Below are 20,491 nucleotides of genomic sequence, written 5' to 3'. Positions count from 1 at the left end.
ACTTGACCTCCAGGGCTCAAGTGATCCTCCCACCTCAGCCTCCCAAGTAGCTGGGACTACAGGTGTGAGCCACCATGCCCGATTTATTTTTTTACTTTTTTCATAGAGACAAGGTTCCACTATATTGCTCAGGGTGGTCTCAAACTCTTGGGCTCAAGTGATCCTCCTGCCTTGGCCTCCCAGTGTTGGAATTACAGTCATGAGCCACCCTGCCTGGCCAGGCAGGCTATTTTCAACAAGCTACTTAACTTCTCTTAACTTCAGTTTCTTCTGTAAAATAATAACCATAGTAGAAGCTATCAAAATGTGAGATTTAAATGAAATGTGTAAAGCTACTAATCCAGTGCCTGACACAACAAAATTCTTAATAAAGGTTAATCATTCAATCAATACAAACAACTTTCTATTAAGGAGATTAAAATCTCTGGAGTGAAAGATTACACAAATGCTCCTTTTGACACTCTTATCTTCTTCTAATACCAAACTATTGTCAATTCCTGAACTCAAGATGACGTTGCTCACAGATCTTTACCTTTTTATCTGCCACTTCTCCAGGAGGACTGCCATTCTCCCACAAAGCCCCTATGCCTTTGTGGAGTCTTGGCTGAAACCCCAAGCTCTCTGCAAAGCTTTTCTTGGTATTGACATCACCACCATCCCACAGAATTCGTTAGTGTTACATGCTATCTCTGGACCTTGGACACACTTTTAATATTGTAACAAATGGTAATTACTGTATTTTCTTAGTGTCGCCTCTCTTCCACTAGACTCTGAGCTTTTGTGGTATTCGCTTTGTAACCACAGCATCTGTCTAGTTCTTAGCAAACAATAAGCGCAGGGTTGGATGCTGACGCATGACTTCATGACTTGGGCTCCCTCACTTAGCAGTAACGTGACCCTAGGTGACACCTCCTAATCTACACTCATCTGTAAAATGGCGGTGATAACTTGTACATGGTTACTACATGGAGTCCAAGAGACAGCAAGAAGGATCAGTAGCATGGTGCCCGCACCTAGCAGCCGCTAGCTGACTGAGGCCGAAAGAGGAAATGCTTTGGCCAACACTGGCCGGAAGGGGCGGGACCGCGAGTTAAGAGGAGAAGGCGCGCCCCACTGCGCAGGTGCAAATGGTAGGGGTTGTCGTGCCGGCTGATTCCGGGGACGCACTCGCGGCTGGGGCAGACCGCGGTCGCGTAGCTGACGTCATCGCCGTGCGCTGCCACGTCTGCTCAGCTCCGCGGTAATGGAGGCTAGGGATGGGTGCTGAAGTATCAGGCTCTGGCTCTAGCTTTAGCTCTGGCACTGGAACTGCGTCGGAGTCTGGGTCTGAGTCTGGCAGCCCGAAGCCTGGACACCTTTTCTTGATTCTCTAGGCGGGGGCTGCCTGCGTCCAAGCAGCTGGTTTGCAGCGTTCCAACGCTGGGAGGGAGTTCCCTTACCTGGGGTCCAGTCTGTAAAGTTGTCGCCGCTTTCTAGGGACCCCGCCCCACCGGCTGGGACTCTTCCATGCGTGAGTATTACTGAGCTGCCCCAAGGTCCGGCTGTCCTGGACCTGCCTCGGCCCTCTTGGGTGTGCGGCGGAGACTGCTTTGTCTACCTTTCTGCCGACTTCTCTTAGGGACCAGTCTGTTGAAGTTTGTGGTCTCCTGCAGTCCACCACACCGCATACTCTCACCTCTTCCGTCCCAGTTTTTTCCCTGCACTTTTCTTTCCCTTTGCTTGTTAATGGAGCAAGGACCAGCAGCCCCTGCATCCAGCGGTTTGAATGCTTTGTTTGACTTGGGGTTAGTTTACAGCCGAAGGCTGTTAGGAATAGGGAGCATTTGAAAACACGGGTTTTTTCCAGTGTCATCCTTGGGTTTTAGTTGTATTGTTTAGGAAACATTGGTATCCATGTTGACAGAATCATGATTTTTGCCGTAGAATGATGAAAAGAGCTTTTTTTTTTTTTTCCAGTGAGGATCTTTATCTTTTACTTGCTTCTTAATCTTGCAGTTTCAGTAATTTCTGTATGATTTTACACCAGCTTTTCTGGAGCGGGCATCCCCTTGAAGAGTTTCTTTCAATATTTTAACCCTAACATATAGAGATACCACTCGAACAGTTTTACTTTTAAACTGTTAAAAGAACTACTGGTACCCTTTCATTCCACTTCCTCAGTCCTGACAACCTCTGCAGAACAGGGGACACTCCCCCCCCCCGCCCCCCCCCCTTGAAGAAACACACTCAGAAGAACACACTCAGAAGTTAACTTATCCGGATAAGGTCAGATAATATGTGACCATCTGAGCTCACAAGCCATATCCCTTGATAACAAAACCTAATGTTTTATAAAGTGCCAATTCTTCTATATTTCAAGTAGTTTAAGTGTGAAACATTGAGCTGGAAATGTATAAGGTGTGATGTTTCTTGTAAACTTCTATTTGATTATAATATCTTACAGATGATACAAATCAGTTGACAAAAGACACAAATCATCACTTGCCTAAAGCTGAACAGAGCTTAGATCAGAACTTAGGCTTTTGACCCATTAGAGTCTGAGTAGTCCTTTAATTCGAATAACGTAAGTAGTAGACACTGGGAACATTCGTTTGAAAATCTTATTTTGTAAGGCCTGCTTACTCAGTGTTTGTCGTTGTTTTGTTGCCTACTTTAAAAATAGTCTACTGATGTTTAAATGTTTTTGTTGTCGTTCAGAGTTGAAACTGGTTGACAACCATTAACCTGGGTTGCAACTACAGGTGGCACTGGAAGCAGACTGGTTCCTGGACATGCCCGGTGGAAGGAGGGGCCCTAGTCGGCAACAGCTAAGCCGTTCAGCTTTACCTTCTTTGCAGACTTTGGTTGGTGGAGGCTGTGGCAATGGAACAGGCTTGAGAAACAGGTAAAGAAAAAATAAGGCTATATATAATTTTAATGTCCTTTGATCAGTAAGACTAACATAAAAGTCATCATGTCATTCAGATATTTGCTTATTGAGATTTATTCTTGACACTGTGGTAGAAATCCTGCCCTTCAAGACAAAATTCAGAATTCCAAAATACTTTGGAGGTAAAAAGATGTGAAATGGGGCCCACAAAGTGAAAGCAGTCCCATTCTTTATTTTGGCTGATCATCTAAATTCTTGTTATCCCCTTTTTATCTATTAGAAGAAGGGAGAAGTGAATGAAAATACAAGGTAAGTGTGATGGTTTATCTACTTATAAGCATTCTTTTTTTAGAGGGCAAATTATAAGTCAAATTCCATCAAGGATTTTAAATTGTCAAAAAATTGTTTGGTCTTAATAAATGTTAGCTGTTTTTTAGCTGGGTTAGCCCATGCCATCAGGAGGTTTGATAATGTAGCAGTTCAAAGAGATACTTTTACCTAATGAAGTATTTGCTCAAGATATTTTCTGCCAGCTAATTTCTCCTTCCTCCCTGAAAAAAGTTTTTCTCTTGTCTTGATTTTAATTTTCAGAGCTAGCAATCAGTACTACTGTATTTTCAGGCCTGTCTAATGGTATTTATGCACTTTTGTTTTCTAGGCCTGACCTTTGTCCTTTTTTTTTCCTGACTTTCCAATCCCTCTTCCACCCAATCTTTAAAATTAGTTCTGATCTCATCATTTCAGTGGAGCTCTCCCTGAAATTCCAGTTTGAAGGGATTTTTCCAGTCTCCGATTCTCATACTAATTTTTAATCCGAGTTTTGTTTATGTATGTATACAGAGTAACTAGTTTATGCTAGAGTATTTTTTACTCTGCCGTTCGTTGGATTTCCTTATTTTAAAAATGATGGTACTGTTTGCATCATAGCAGGATGTTGAAATAAATGAAGTAGTAAATTGCAGTAACTTTAAAAAACTTTACTGAATTTTACAAAATTTCTACAAATAAGTATTATTTTATATACTTAAAAATAAGAATGAGAATATGCGAAAATGCTTTTGAAGAAAGGTACTATCTAATATAGGTATTGAGATAAAAGTTGTTTGCTCTTTGAGGTACATGCCTTAATTTTATTAATATATGCTATCAACTTATTGATTCAGTACTTTCAAATTGTGATAGAAAATCTTAGCTGTCCCTAACTAGGATTCTAGCCAACTAAAAAATTCTAACTTTGCCTCCTAACTCTAGCAGTTCTTTGTTCGTTCTCTTTGACTTTGGCTTTGAGGATTCCTCTAGATAATTATGTTCTCTAGATAAAAATGTTCTTAGACTGTCCCATGAAATCCCTCTTCAGTGTCTCAGGGGTTGCTGTAGGAGGGCTTAGAAGGGAAAATGGATCAGGCAAGCCTAACAGTCTAGGCTTGAGTTTTCCTCGTCTTCTTTTAATTAGACTGACTCATTTTCCTATGTGTTTTAAATATTAAGATACTATGTAAAATATCATGAGGAAAGGAAAATAAAGCGTTCTGCTATTAAAAAGAACTGAAAGCCAATGAAAATGTCATTTGTAGATGCTTCTGCTTGCACTTAGAGTCTGCAGATGGTATACTGGGAAGAAGTAGGAACGTTCGGAAAATACCTCGGCTCTTGACTGGGTTTGGTATTCTTTTCTCTGCCTTCACTGTAGCTCTTCTATCCTGGTATTCAAGGTTCCAACCATGGTTGCTTTAATCTGCCTTTCTCTCCTCCTTTAACATATGTTTATTTAGCAATTAACTGGGGGGAGGGAGGGAGTGGGTAGAAAAAAGTATTTTCCAACATTTTAAAATGAAAGAAATAATTGTTTATGGTTTGAAAAGTCACCAAGACTATTATTGAGTGATTATTTGTGACATGTTTACCTAGAGAAATTATTTGGGGAAAAGAAAGCTTTATATTTCTTTCTTGGTGGGAAGCAAGCAGCTGGAATAATTTGTTATAAAAGACCTGGGGACGAGGTATGAAAACATGAAAGAACTAGCGGATAGCTTATAATATAGTTTTAGGAAGGATATATAGAAAGAAGGAGTGTCCAGATGAGGAGAACTCACTTCTGGAGTGTCTATAGAGTATTGGAGGGAAATAGATAATTGCTTCAGTATTACATACTTTTGGATGATACATTTGATTCTGCAAGACAGACATAGGTCAGCTGGAGAGGAGAGAATTTGTCCCTGTTTGGTAGGTGCTTGTGGTCTGATTGGTGAAGTTAAACTCTAGAATGTCAAGGAGCTAGTTTGGTAACACAGTCAAGGTTGAAATTGTAGTTCCTTGTCCTGCTGTCCACCTTTGGGGAGCAGGGATTTGTTCTTGCAACAGTGTATTTAAAGTATTATCCTTTTAAAAAAGGAAGATATATTGTGTATTTCTGGATTTCTTAGAGAGTTCCTGATTGAGGGAGAATCTTATTTGAGAAGAACTATTGTTTTCTTTGCTTATTCCTTGCATATACTTTGTTAATAATATCACCTGAACGTGTCCAAATGACCACTGCTTTCCCTACCTCTTCTATTCCTCTTTATGCCTTTGAATCTTTCTTCTTTCATCCATTTGCTTCCCTAAATTCTGCTGCTTGCTGGCTCCATACCAGTCAGTCTCAGGCCTGCTGTGTTAACCCTTTGCCACACACAAACTTTATATGCAAGGACAAAACACAGGTGTTCAGCATAAACCACATTGTTTGTATAAACAGTTTAGGCACAGTGAGCCACTCTAGTTATTTAGGGAAAGTTTATATCACTGTAGGGAACTGTTTACTAGTCATGGTTCCCAGATGTAAGCCTTGTAAGCAGGCCTTCCTAAGAGTAGCTATGTTGAACACCTGCATTCTTTTTGGGAGTCTAGAATTTTGGTACTGCTAGAAAGAAGGTGCCCATGTGGCCAGCCCCCAATAAAAACCCTGGGCATCAAGTCTCTAATGAGCTTTCCTGGATGAGTAGCACTTCACATGTGTTGTCACAACTCATTGCTAGAGAATTTATATGGGTTCTGAATAGATTCTTAAATCTATTTTTATATTCTTTTTTTGGTTTTGTTTTTGAGATGGAGTTTCACTCTTGTTGCCCAGGCTGTAGTGCAATGGTGCTACCTCAGCTCACCACAACCTCCGCCTCCTAAGTTCAAGCGATTCTCCTGCCTCAGCCTCCCAAGTAGCTGGAATTACAGGTGTCCACCACCATGCCTGGCTAATTTTTGTATTTTTAGTAGGGATGAGATTTCATCATGTTGGCCAGGCTGGTCTTGAACTCCTGACCTCAGGTGTTCCGCCCGCCTCGGCCTCCCAAAGTGCTGGGATTACAGGTGTGAGCCACCACGCCTGGCCAAGAAAAGTTTTAATATGACTCCCAGGTTTCTGATGTGGGCAGCTAACTGAGTGGGCCATGAACTAAGGTCAGGACTATAGGAGGGAAGAACACAGAGATGTCCAGTAGGGAGTTGAATAATGTGTCTATAATTTAGCAGTGAGCTCTATGGAGAGAAATTATAGTCTTCATCATGTAGGAGATAATGGAGGCCATAGCTGCATCTTAGATCACTGACAGAAAGTGTGGAGGGAGAAAAGAGGATCCCAGGATGGAGTCTTGTGGGGAAAGCAGACAGTGAAGGGGTAGATGGAGGAGACAGCAGGAGCCCTTTATGTTCTGTGATACTGGAGGTTATCACCATTTGAGTTAACCATAGTTTTCTCTTTCAGGAATGGTAGTGCTATTGGCCTTCCAGTCCCACCTATCACAGCCTTAATCACCCCAGGTCCTGTTCGTCATTGCCAAATTCCTGACTTGCCTGTGGATGGGAGCCTACTCTTTGAATTCCTTTTTTTCATCTACCTGTTGGTTGCTCTTTTCATTCAGTACATCAACATTTATAAAACAGTGTGGTGGTATCCTTACAATCATCCTGCTTCTTGTACATCACTGGTAAGTCTTACTCAGACTTTAAGTTCTTCATGTTACTTACCCAAGAAACTACCTGGAAAGCCTTTCTGTAGAAATTGTTTTTCTTAATAATTTTTCTTTTAATAAAATGTTTTTCTGCTAGGCCACAGATTACTTTCAGAAATAAAATTTCATGATAAGATGGTTAAATTATAAGTACTACCAGAGGAAGTAAAAATATAAATGAAAATGCAGAAAACATTTAAATAATTTTTTATAATAATATCACGGAAAGGTTTTGGTATTTAGTTTTCTCTACACCATTTTAAATTTGTAAGTATAAGGTGTCAGTGTTACTACATTCTAACAACTCTACCCTTTTAATGGCTGAATTAGGATAGTGGTAGCTTCTGTAACAAATAAACTCTGAGGCAGTTGTCCTGGTTGCCAGGAGTTCTTCAGGGGACCCAGGCTGATGGAGATTCTACTGTCTTCCAACATGTGACCTCCAAGGTGGCTGTGGCCCATCCCTGTCAGCCAGAAGGGGAAAGAGCTTAGGGCAATGTAAAGGACAGTTTCTTATGGGCCAGGCTTACATCATTTCCACACATGTCCACTCCTAATTACAAGAGAAGCTAAATATAGTCCTTTAGCTGGGTACATAGTGAACTTAAATCAAATTGGGAAATTGGGAAGTGAAATTGAGAAATTGGCTGTCTTTGCTGAAGTACATAAAAATATATTGTAGGTTTCTTCTGTTCTCTTTCCATTTATTAAGAGTACCATGATAGGCCGGGCGCGGTGGCTCACGCCTGTAATCCCAGCACTTTGGGAGGCTAATGCGGGCGGATCACGAAGTTAAGAGATCGAGACCATCCTGGCTAACACGGTGAAACCCTGTCTCCATTAAAAATATAAAAAATTAACCGTGTGTGATGGCAGGCGCCTGTAGTCCCAGCTACTTGGGAGGCTGAGGCCGGAGAATGGCATGAACCCGGGAGGTGGAGCTTGCAGTGAGCCGAAATCGAGCCGCTGCACTCCAGCCTGGGCGACAGAGCGAGACTCTGTCTCAAAAAAAAAAAAAAAGAGTACCATGATAGTCTTGATGCAGAGAAGGTTCACCATAGATGGGTATATAAAAAAATATTGGTAAGGCCTGGGCATGGTGGCTTATGCCTATAATCCCAGCACTTTGGGAGGTGAAGGCAGCAGGATTGCTTGAGCCCAGGAATTTGAGACCAGCCTAGGCAACATAGTGAGACCTTGTCTCTACAAAAAATAAACAAAATTAACTGGGCATGGTAGTGCACACTTGTGGTCCTAGTTTCTGGGGAAGCTGAAGTGAGGATTGCCTGAGCCCAGGAGATCAAGACTACAGTGAGCTAAGATTGTGGAAACTGTACTAAGGCTAGTCAGATGACTTGACAGATAGGTTGTTGGCAATGGCAGATTTGCATGAGTGATAGAGATAGGCTCTAGGCGAAAGAAGACTATTGTCTTATATATGTGTTTGGGACTAATAAAGATTAGAAAGCCTCCCTATCATGGTGAACATAGAAAGGAAATGTGGGCCAAAATCCTTAAGATAGTATGGAAAGAGAATAAAAATTTTTGTTTTAAATATTTGTATCATTTGGTTGTTCCTGGTATTAAAAATTTTCTTGCTATATTGACCTCCTGTCTACTTAATATCATGTGATAAGAATGTCAGTTTCTGTGTTGAAAAATTGCAATGATATAGTGCCAAATTTTTTTTTAAGTCTTTTTTTCTTATCTGGATTAAGAGCTTATTGAGTGTAGGAACTGTACTTCATTCATCCTTTTTGGCCATGGTGTTTTAAAAGAAAGAAGTTGGATTGGATGTTCTTTAAGGCCTTTTACAGCTATATAGTTCTATAAATAAATACTCACTATCTTAACAGTGTCAATAACGAACACACATTAAAATATTTAGATTATTTACAAGTATTATCTCATTTGCTCTTTATAAAAATGGGTTGGTACCGTTATATGACTCCCATTTTATATATGAATGTAAGACAAAATGGGTAGGTACCATTATATGACTCCCATTTTATAAATGAATGTAAGACCTATAAACTGGTTCAAAAATCACATAGCGGCATAGTGAGTGCCCAAGTCCAGACCAATCTACTGTGCTTTACTTCCTGTTTTAGTCCTATATTTATTCTGTAAGTGCTTCTTGGGTAGTTCATTATAAAATTTCTACTTGGGTTGACATTTCCCTGGAAACTTCTCATTTGTTGAATTTTCAGTCTCATCGAAGAGTTCTTTGCCCAATCTAACATATCTGACTATAGTTCTTTAGAAAGTCACCTACAAATACTGCCTTGAAACAGGGAGCCAGTGTTCTTGTCATAATCAGGAACCTGCTGTTATAGCTGCTGACTCCAGAATTAATGCTTCCTTTGCTTTGACCCTTACCACCAAAAATGGATGCCTTTTGCTACCTTTCCCCCTAACTTCACTCACTTCTATTCAAGTTTTATATGATGCCTGTGGTTGACAGAACCTAAATCGTATCTAGAGTCTGAGTTGCAAGAAAGTTTGGAAATGTCATTTTTAGCTTTCCAGCCTCTGCAGTAGAGGAACGCACACTTAATGGAGGTTGTAGAGTAGATTGGCTCACTTATCTGATGCACATAATCTTTGCTAACACAAAGCTTAAAATTGGATTGTGAAGCCAAGAGTAACATGTGAAATAGCAAATAAGAGTTTAGCCCATGAATCTGAAAGGAGCCTGTATCAGTGAGTTGTTCAAAGATAGATTGGACTGCCGGAGATCAAGTTATTTCCCATCACTGAAGGTATTGAAGTGTGGAAGGTGGTTACCTGGTCAGGAGGCTCTAGCAAGGACTTCTGTCCCAAATATGTGGTCTGTCTTTTAAGTTTTCTTCTATTATGAGTGTCTGGGTCAGATACTCATAATAATTTTGTCAGATTTATTTATTAGGTTTTTATTTTTCCATTTCAAGACCTTAATATCAAAAAGAAAATGTGGACACCTGAATATGTGAAGTATCATTCTAGCTGTCAACCAATTAACTGAATGAGTCTTAACCCTAAGAAACATAAAAGCTAGAAGTAGTAAATATTCAGAATAGTCAGGAATAGAGGGCTCTGATTAATCAAATATTCTGGGTTACAAAGAGTTAATCATAAGCACATTACCATTTTCATTGATTTGGTTATAACATGATTTGCTTAACAAAAAGATGTATTAGGCACTTAAATATTTTGATTTTTTTTTTGAGACGGAGTTTGGCTCTGTCAGCAGGCTGGAGTGCAGTGGTATGACCTCTGCTCACTGCAACCTCCGACTCCCTGGTTCAGCGATTCTCCTGCCTCAGCCTCCCGAGTAGCTGGGATTACAGGCATGCACCACCATGCCCAGCTAATTTTTGTATTTTTAGTAGAGACAGGGTTTCACCACATTGGCCAGGATGGTCTTGATATCCTGACCTCATGATCTGCCTGCCTTGGCCTCCCAAATTACTGGGATTACAGGCGTGAGCCACCGCACCCGGCCAATATTTTGATTTTTAAAAATGTCTTAGATGGACTGGTGATGCATTAATAAGACCCAGACATCAGCCAGGGGTCGAGTGAATCTGCATGCATTATTTTGGAGGAGTAGGGTAGGCAAGGAGGAGTCCCAAAAATAGGAGGGGATAAATACTGTTAGAATCCATTATACTTAGAGAGGGAGAAAAGGAAATGATCTAAGGAGTGGCAAGCCACTCTTGACATTCTGGCTGTACTATCTCTAAAATGTATACTAAATTTGGCCACTTAATTCCATCTCCATTGCTACTCACACTATTCAGTCTGTTATCATTTTTCACTCGAATTAAAAGCAAGAGCTTCTTAACTGATCTTGCCCCACTACAATAATTATCTCACTCCAGCCTTCTTGCTGCTTTTTAGACACACTAGGCATATATTTTCCTGTCTTAGGGCCTTTGTGATTGCTTTTTCTTCTGTCTGGGGCCCTTTGTCCCCAGAGCTTGTAATGCCAGGTGCCTTTTTGTCATTCAGCTCTCAGCCCAAATGCCATCCTCTCAGAGATAGCCTCCCTAACCACCAGTTTAAATGGGCTCTGCACCTCCTTCTTAGTCATTATTTGTTACTGTTTTATTTCTTACAAGCAGTTTTAACTATTTAAAATGCTTTTGTTTGGGAGCTTGTTTATTGTCATTACTTGCCCTGCTTCTCCAAACAAATTTATTGAAGATATGGGTTTAGCTGCCATAACAGGGTGGCTAAAACAAAATAGAAACTTATTTCCCTATTTAATAAACGTTTAGGTGGGTGATATAACATCAGCATGGCAACTCTTTGTATTTATTGCTCTTCCATCCCCAATATGCTTCTTCCAAACCATGGTCCAAGGCAGGTACTCTAACTCCAGTTATCATATCTGACCAGCAGGAAGGAGAAAGAAAAGAGAAAAGGGGACAGCTCTTTCTAGAAGAGTATGGCTTAGAAGTTGTGCGTATTACTTTTTCACTCATCCCTTGGCTAAAAGTAGTTTTTGCAAGGGAGGCTGGAAAATGAACCTTTAGCTGGCTAGGAGTCAGTGCCTAGTTAAATTTTATGGTGATGCAGAAGGAACGAATAGTAATCTCTGCCATTTCCTTTCCCTCTGACACCACAGTAGAAAGTAAGACCCAGGAGAGCAGGAACCTTGGCTGTCATCTTCCACACTGTATCTTTAGTGTGAAGGAGAGTACCTGGTGCATTGTGGATGCTATGTATAGATTTATTAAATTAAGTAATCAAGAAATTTAATGTTTCATTCTGGAAGGAATTGTGGAAACCTACAGACCTTTTGATCATCAAAATGAAAATACATCCTGATTTTGGTGGTTCCTGGGATATTGTTGCTAAAGACTTTTCATTTGCTTATTACCACAGTTGTATATACAGATTTAGAACTAGAAGGAACTGTAGACAGCATCTAGGTAATGCTATTATTTTTTAGAAGAGACCAAACATAAGGCATACTTCTAAATCAAACTAGGAGAAACACTAAATGAGTATAATTGATGTACCATCTAGTAGAGAATTTAGTAGATGCCCAATTAGATTAACATAAGCTTGTGTAAGAGACCAACAACAGTAACTTCTGAAGACTGAATCCCAACTGATAGTTTGACACATTATAAATATGCCATTTTATATAAATTATTCTTGCCATAATTCTGCAGGTTATAACTTGTTAACTCAAAGCTGCAATCTTTTCCTTTTAGTACAGTAATACTTTTGAAAAGGGAGAGGAATATATTGCAGGTAGTTTAAAATAGTGTTTAAAAACTTAAAGCAATTTGTTATGAAAGAAGAAGTAGAAGGTACGTAGTCTCTTCAAGATCTCTCATATTCCCATAATCTGTAAGGGTGTGGTGATCTAAGGAAGATCTTTTGAGGGATAAACCTCTATTCTTGTAGTAGTGCCAGCTGAATACACATCATATTTCTTTCTGATGTAGTTATTTATTTCTGTTGTAGAATTTTCATCTCATTGATTATCATCTGGCAGCATTCATCACAGTGATGCTTGCGAGGAGGCTTGTATGGGCTCTCATCTCAGAGGTAACAGTTCATTGACTATATTCTATCACATGTAGCTAGAGTTAGTTACTAGAATGGGTGCAGGTTAAAAACGTGACGTGTCCCCATTTAATGAAACAATAAATTACTTTACTCCCATGTGAGTTCTGCCAGTACTTTAAAAAATGTTTCCCTGCAGTGTAATTTTTTAAAATTCAAGTGTCAAAAACTGTTAGAAAATTCATTCGTAGGGTCGGAGCTTGTGTTCCGCTACTGAGTTTTTCAGTACAATTTAAACAATTTAAATAGTTTCAGTAAAAATAGGATGAATTTCAGGTAACTATTAATACGAAGTGTTATCTGTACACATACAATTGCACCTAAAACATTCAGTTCCAGATAATATTCACTTGATACTGTTTATATATACCATTTGAGAAGATTGTTAGCAAGAAACATTTATTTGAGTTTCTTAGAATTTTAAAAACCAGTGAGTATCAGAATTCGTATAGGATTAATCTGAAGATTAGAATCTAAGTTTAGTGAGCAGAATGAGAAAGAATTAGAACATTAAATGATCTTTTTAAAATTAAAAATTGTTGACAGAGCTAGGCCATTGGTATCATTTTTCTTTCCTTTTTTTTTTTTTTTTTTTTTTGAGACGGAGTTTCACTCTTGTTGCCCAGGCTGGAGTGCAGTGGCATGATCTCGGCTCGCCACAACCTCTGTCTCCTGGGTACAAGCGATTTTCCTGCCTCAGCCTCCCAAGTAGCTGGGATTACAGGCATGCGCCACCACGCCTGGCTAATTTTGTATTTTTAGTAGAGACGGGGTTTCTCCATGTCGGTCAGGCTGGTCTCGAACTCCCGACCTCAGGTGATCCACCTGCCTCGGCCTCCCGAAGTGCTGGGATTACAGGCGTGAGCCACCATGCCTGGCCTCATTTTTCATATATTTGTAAATCCCAATGAGGCAGGGAAATGTGCTTTCTTAAAATATTGTTATCTTGTGCTCTATAAGTGATTACAAAAACAAAAAATGTTAATTTAGCTGAAGTGGCTAATAATTTTAATCTTGGAACTTATAATTCAGTGTGAAATTTTAAATGAATAGTTACTATAATCACAAATAATTGAGAGTCAACTTCTTTTTCCCAAAACATACATGGAAGGTCTGTGTGTGTAAGCTCTGATTTTCAGGAACCCTATTTCTGGAAGCAGAGTAACTGGAAATACTAAGTCAAGATCTGAAAACCATTTGAAGTTAACCAAAAAGCACAGGTAGTAGGATTCCTTGTTTTTCACAGTAGGAACGTCTGTTTATAATCTTTTCTTTCAGAGTTTTTATTTAGAGGATGGAAATAGAAACTCACTTTTTGTTATATTGTGAAAGCATGTTCTTTCTTTAGAGGATCTCAGTGGAATTTTATGTTTTCATTTGTTAAAATAGGAAATGATTTTGTTTCATTCCTTCAGTTACTTGGACATGCTACTTGTACATGTCCAATTAGTATGCCCAGTTAGTGTGTAACCCTTCAAAACTGGGATTTCTACCTTGTTGCTGCAAAGATAACTTAAATGCCCTAAAAGTAGTATAGCAGCTTTTGCATAGCCTTAGTTGGAATAGGCTTGCAATTCTTTTTTTTTTTTTTTTTTTTTTTTTGAGATGGAGTCTGGCTCTGTCGCCTAGGTTGAAGCAGGAGCACAGTGGTGCCATCTCAGCTCATGCAACCTCTGCTTCCCAGGTTCGAGCGATTCTCCTGCCTCAGCCTCCTGAGTAGCTGGGATTGCAGGCGCCCACGACCATACCCAGCTAATTTTTGTGTTTTTAGTAGAGACAGGGTTTCACTATGTTGGCCAGGCTGGTCTCGAACTTCTGGTCTAAAGTGATCCACCCACCTTGGCCTCCCAAAGTGCTGGGATTACGGGTGTGATCCCAAGTGCCTGGCCAAGGCTTGCAGTTCTTAATGGGAACAGAATACTTAAGCTAAATTTAAACATCGTTTTATCAAAGTCTTAATTCTATAACTTAATGTTCATCAGTAAGGGAATGTTTAAATAATTTTGGTACATCTACATAATGGAATAGCATACAGCCATTGACAACATGAAAATGTGTTTATGTATTGACCTCCAAGATGTTAAATGAAAAAAGCAAGGTGCAGAACAGTGTTTAAAATGAGACAGGAGGGAACAAAATATATTTGCTTATATATGAATAAATTGTTTCCAGAAGGACATACAAACTAATAACAGGTTGCACAGTTGGTGGCTAGGAGACAGGATCAGCAGGTGGGAAGCTTTTCACTACAAGCACTGTTACATGTTTTGTGTTTTGAGTGATATGAATGTGTTACCTATTCAAAAATTTAAAATAAGAGCTGTATAGTGATTTTCCTCCTAAAATATCTAAATTAGATGGATAAAACCTATCATAAATCATCTTTCCTTCCTTCCATTAAAATATGTTTTCCTCCTTTTTTTGCATATATCACAGAAAGGATCCCTACCCTGAGAAAGATCAATAATATTTAAGGAGAGGCTGCTGGTAATTAATTCATAAACGGAAATGCTATTCAGAGAGGACTACCTCTCCACGTAGGTAGAGTCCGTTTATTCACCTTCAGGCCAGCTCTGCCTGTTCACCTCCAGGCTAACTCTACTTCTATACTTGCTTCACAAGACTAGAAATAAATTTAGCTGTTTTTTCACCAACCTGAAGCAACTCTCTTTTTAAAAATTGTTTTTCTAGGAAAATAGTATATTTTATTGAAAAAAATTTGGAAAACACTAAAATATAAAGCAGGACATTTAAAAATTGCTCACAATCTCATTATTGAAGACCACTTTTTTTGGGGGGTGGGGGGCAGACAGAGTTTTGCTCTTGTCGCCCAGGCTGTAAATGGCATGATCTTGGCTTACTGCAACCTCCGCCTCCTTGGTTCAAGCGATTCTCCTGCCTCGGCCTCCCAAGTAGCTGGGATTACTCCTTGGTTCAAGCGATTCTCCTGCCTCGGCCTCCCAAGTAGCTGGGATTACAGGCGCCCACCACCATGCCCAGATAATTTTTGTATTTTTAGTAGAGACAGGGTTTCACCATGTTGGCCAGGTTGGTCTCAAACTCCAGACCTCAGGTGATCCACCTGCCTCTGCCTCCCAAAGTGCTGGGATTACAGGTGTGAGCCATTGCACCCGGCCAAAGACCACATTTTGCTATATTTTCTTCTGATCTTCATATGCGTATGAAGATTTTATATTTACATTTATTTTACTATATTTGAGAATTATTTATATACAGTTTCATATCCTGTACTTTAAAATTAACATAATGTTATGAATATTTTTCTGCCCCTCACCTAGCGAAATCTTGCTTATCCTTTAGGTCTCAGCTTAAATACCGTTTACTAACACAAGCCATCTCTAGAATAGGATCTCCTGTTATTTACTTTCCATAGCAGCCTACTCTTCCTATAGCACTCATTACAATTAAAAAAATGATTAGATAAAAGTTTAATATTTGTTTTTCTTGGTTAGTCAGCTTCATAAGCACAGGGGTTTTGTTTGTCTTGGTTACCACTGTACCCCTAGGACCTGGTAAAGGGTCTGTGACATACACCACAGTGATTAGCGGCTTGGGGCTCTGGAATAAGGCAAAATTAACAAATCCAAGCTCTGTGCTCTGATGACATTGGGCAGAAATAGTCTTTTTTATTTCTAACCCTGAACTTTTGAGAAGGAGGTAATAGAGTAACTCCAATAGCTTAAATAACTTTACTAAGCTTTGATATGTGAGGTAAATTGGCATGAAGGTATGTATCAGGGGAGTTATATGAAGCTATGTGCCAGGCTATGACTGAGAAGAGCTTGAGCCATCTTCACAGTTTGAGGCTTAAGCCGTTCATTATGGCATTTATTCAACTGCTGCTTTGCATTTTAAAGTAACTATATATTACGTATATATGCTGTATATATATAGTATTCAGTATACAGTATATTGCGTATATGTTATAGGTACTCCATAATATGATCTGTAAACTAAGAAACGGATATATAGGAGGGACCTGAAAAGCTCCTTATCCCCTACCATGTACTGTTGACTCTAGATAATTTTTTTCTCCTTTTTGGGTTCCATCACTGCTCTCTTAGAGGTTATGGGGATCTTCCATTTTCCCCTACATTTTGCTCATTCTCTTCTCCCTAGTTCATTCAGAAAGAAAATGGCATTGCAGAGTAAGTTTTGACAAGTACTTAATATATTTAGTCAGTTTTAAAGATTTGCGATTGAAGAAGCATATTTGAATAGCTGTGATAAAAAGAATTGGAAGTGATTATGCATTATTTCCATGTTTGCAAAAGTTAAAAAAGAAACTTATTTATATAGGGATCTGTCAAAGAAGATCGGATTATTTTTTGAAACTTCACTAATTTATTAAACATTAATTCACCAAGCAAATTAGAGGTGAGGATTCAAAGAAAAATAAAAATATTGTTACTGCTGTTGAGGCCCTTTATAGTTTAGTGGGAAGTAAGACAGATAAATTAGTGTCTCTCCATGTTTATGTACATAAAAAATCAGGCCGGGCACAGTGGCTCATGCCTGTAATCCCAGCACTTTGGGAGGTGGGTGGATCACGAGGTCAGGAGTTAGGACAATCCTGGCCAACATGGTAAAACCCTGTCTCTACTAAAAATACAAAAATTAGCTGGGCGTGGTGGTGTACGCCTGTATCCCAGCTACTCAGGAGGCTGAGGCAGGAGAACCGCTTGAACCCAGGAGGCAGAGGTTGCAGTGAGCCAAGATTGTGCCACTGCACTCCAGCCTGGGCAACAGCAACAGAGCGAGACTTTGTCTCGAAAAAAAAAAATTAAAAATAAATAAATAAATAAAACACTGGTTAAGTTGTTAAAATATAGGTTGCTTGACTCAAGATTTTATTCCTTACCCCTTGAGAGGAAAGTTGTTAGGAGTTTACATGTCCAATTAGTAGCCCAGGTCATTCTGATGGAACAAAATAATGTGATCCGTGGAACATACTTTGAGAAGCTCCAATGTTAATAAATTAGATGATATAAAAAGACCTTAAAAGAGTTCTGTAGATGGCACTCTCGGGGTGCAAGAAGGAAACAACTGTGCCTGGAGAAGTCTGAATTTTCAATTATTACGAAGATAAGGTGGGATGGGGCAGTTTTTCTTTTATTTCACTTTTTAAAGACACATTTTAGCTTCCACTAAACCTATTAAGTTCTTACTTGAATTACAATGCTTTTGAAGAAGATCATTTACAAAATGTTCATTTTGGTGCTTCCAAACTTTCAGGCTACTAAGGCAGGTGCAGCATCAATGATTCACTACATGGTTCTGATATCAGCTCGCTTGGTACTACTCACTTTGTGTGGATGGGTACTTTGTTGGACCCTCGTCAATCTCTTTCGAAGCCATTCAGTCCTCAATCTCCTTTTCCTTGGCTACCCGTGAGTACTCCAGTTTTACCATGTTATTAGTAAATCTTTAGAAATTATTTCGGTCACGTAAACGATACTTTTAAGAGTGAAAAATGAAATTCTTCAAATATAAATGAAGCATTTAGAAAACTGGGAAATCCATGAGCATGGTGAACATATAATTTGTTTTCTAAACTGGAGTACAGTTGGGACAACAGGCATAAACCAGGACTGTCCTGGGAAACCTGGAATGTAGGGTGTGTTGCCAGTGGAGAATATTTTAATTGTCTCTCTTCACCAAGTAAAGGCCCCTCTTGCTATCTATATTTGGGTAAACGGTAGTTAATTTTAGATGAATGCACTGGTTCGAAAACCAGTCTTACCCTTGGTTGGTCATATTACTTTGATCTTCTGTTTCCTGTAACAGAAGTACAATAAGTAGTCCTCCCTTATCCATGGTTTTGATTTCTGAAGTTTCGGTTACCTGCGATCAACCAAGGTCCAGAAACATTAAATAGAAAATTCCAGAAATATGTGACAAATTATGTTTTAAATTGTGTGCTGTTCTGAGTAGTATGGTGAAATTTCTCGCCATCCCATTTTGTCCCACCAGGATGTGAATCATCTCTTTGTCCACCATGTCTGTGCCGTGCATGCTACCTGTCAATTAGTTGCTTAGTAGCGGACTTGGTTATTAGATGGACTGGCATGGTGTCACAGGGCTTGTGTTCACGTGACCTTTATTTTACTTAATATGGCTCCAAAGTGTAGTTATGCTCACAATTCAGGTATGCCAAAGGAAAGCTGTAAAGTGCTTCCTTTAAGTGAAAAGGGAAAGTTCTTGACTTAGTAAGGAAAGACGAAAAATCATGCTGAGGTTGCTAAGATTTACTGTAAGAATGAATCTTCTATCCATGAAATTGTAAACAGTATATTGTTATAATTGTTCTATTTTATTATTAATCTCTTAATGTACCTAATTTATAAGTTAAAACTTTATTGTATGTATGTGTATATAGTATAGGAAAAAACATAGTGTATGTAGGGTTTGGTACTATCCATGGTTTTAGGCATCCACTGGGGTGTTGGAATGTCTTCCTGCAGGTAAGAGGGTCTACTCTATGCCATATTCAAGTGCTGTAGACATGTATATATATTATTATGATTGTAACTAACATTTTATTACAAAACCTTTTAAACATTCAACAAGGTTGAAAGAATTTTACAGCTATCACCAGTGTAATCCTTACCCAGATGATTCTGCCTATTAATGTTTTACTATAACTGTGTAATACTTATCTGTCCATCTCTCCATCCCTCTATCCATTAGTCCATCTTACTTTTGATGCATTTCAAAGTTAAATTTCAGACCTCAGTTTGCTTCCTCCTCAATACTTCAGCATGTGTGTATCATTAACTAGAGCTCGATATTTGTTGACAGCTTTTTTTTCTTTTGAGGTTAAATTCATATAAATAAAATTCCCGCCGGGCGCGGTGGCTCAAGCCTGTAATCCTAGCACTTTGGGAGGCCGAGGTGGGCAGATCACCTGAGGTTAGTAGTTCGAGACCAGCCTCGCCAACATGGCGAAACCCCGTCTCTACTAAAAATAAAAAAATTAGCAGGGCGTGGTGGCACGTGTCTGTAATCCCAGTTACTCGGGAGGCTGAGGCAGAAGAATCACTCGAACCCAGGAGATGGAGGTTGCAATGAGCCAGAGCCAGGATCGCGCCATGGCACTCCAGACTGGGCGACGAGCAAGACTCTGTCTCAAATAAATAAATAAATAAAATAAAATAAAATAAAATTCCCAAATCTTGTGTATATGGAGTTTTGTTAAATGTGGACATACCTGTGTGACTTAATCCCCTGTCAAGACTTCAGAGCGTTACACATACTCCACAAGATTCTGTCATGCCACTTTCCCATCAAACCCCACCACTGTCCAGAGACGGTTGCTTTTTTTTTTTGAGACAGGGTTTTGCTCTGTCATCCAGGCGGGAGTGCAGTAGAGCGATCTCAGCTCACTGCAGCCTTGACCTCTCAGGCTCAAGCAATTCTCCCACCTCAGCCTCCCAAGTAGTTGGGACTACATGTGCACACCACCATGCCCCGCTAATTTTTGTTTTGTTTTGTTTTGTAGAGACAGGATTTTACCATGTTGCCCAGGCTGAGGAGTAAGGTTTTTTTGATTCCAGAGTCTTTGTCTTAATCATTACTGTATCAGTAGTTCTCAAAATGTAGTTTCTAGAACAGCAGCATCAGCATCACCTATAAATTTGTTGGAAATTCTCAGAATCTACCCCAAACCTACTGAAATAGAAACTGGAAAGTAGGACCTAGCAAGTTGTGTTTTAACAAGCCCTCAAGGTGATTCTGATGCATGCTCAAGTTTGAGAATTACTGCTTTATATTATTTATGGTGCTGAAGTGTTAGCGTGAATTTATGTGGGTAATTACAAAGTATAAAATCAAGTCATAATTAGAGATTGTGCTAATAAGGATGACAGGAACAGTCTTTCTATTGGTTATACTATAGTAGGTCTGATTACATTGTTTAAACAGTTATTTAAGTCACTCATCAACTGAATTCATTAATATTACCCTTGTTTTCTACAAAATGAATTATCTGTTACGAACATTTTTCATGACTCTGATTTCATATGAGGAATATATTTTACATGAATTGTTTCTA

At 39.2% G+C, this 20,491-nt stretch overlaps 1 protein-coding gene across 10 annotated transcripts in view, besides 2 other annotated features; it reads left to right on the top strand.

Annotated features, from left to right (window-relative positions):
* Nucleotides 981-1,040: an enhancer, noted in NCBI's record as "active region_20302". NCBI's record gives its function as "activates an Ori minimal core promoter by ATAC-STARR-seq in GM12878 lymphoblastoid cells {active_cell/tissue: GM12878}" and the evidence as "EXISTENCE:reporter gene assay evidence [ECO:0000049][PMID:35858748]".
* Nucleotides 1,071-1,560: an enhancer, noted in NCBI's record as "active region_20301". NCBI's record gives its function as "activates an Ori minimal core promoter by ATAC-STARR-seq in GM12878 lymphoblastoid cells {active_cell/tissue: GM12878}" and the evidence as "EXISTENCE:reporter gene assay evidence [ECO:0000049][PMID:35858748]".
* Nucleotides 1,231-20,491, top strand: part of TMEM39A (transmembrane protein 39A) — a 34,667-nt gene continuing 15,406 nt past the window's right edge. For 4 of the 10 annotated variants that reach the window (XR_007095705.1, XM_005247578.3, NM_018266.3 and 1 more), the window contains exons 1-5: nt 1,231-1,510; nt 2,698-2,884; nt 6,606-6,828; nt 12,316-12,399; nt 17,674-17,828. Coding sequence is in view for 8 of the 10 variants with exons in the window: in XM_005247578.3 (XP_005247635.1) it covers nt 2,772-2,884; nt 6,606-6,828; nt 12,316-12,399; nt 17,674-17,828 (575 nt within the window). In the remaining 2 variants the exon portion in view is untranslated. Of the gene's footprint in view, nt 1,511-2,697; nt 2,885-6,605; nt 6,829-12,315; nt 12,400-13,528; nt 13,638-17,673; nt 17,829-20,491 lie in introns of all 10 variants that reach the window. The other 6 variants (XM_047448512.1, XM_006713687.3, XM_047448513.1 and 3 more) reach the window with 4 other exon arrangements.

The sequence above is a fragment of the Homo sapiens genome, chromosome 3, assembly GCF_000001405.40.
Source record: "Homo sapiens chromosome 3, GRCh38.p14 Primary Assembly".
NCBI lineage: Eukaryota > Metazoa > Chordata > Mammalia > Primates > Hominidae > Homo > Homo sapiens.
This window is presented reverse-complemented; position numbering and strand designations above follow the sequence as displayed.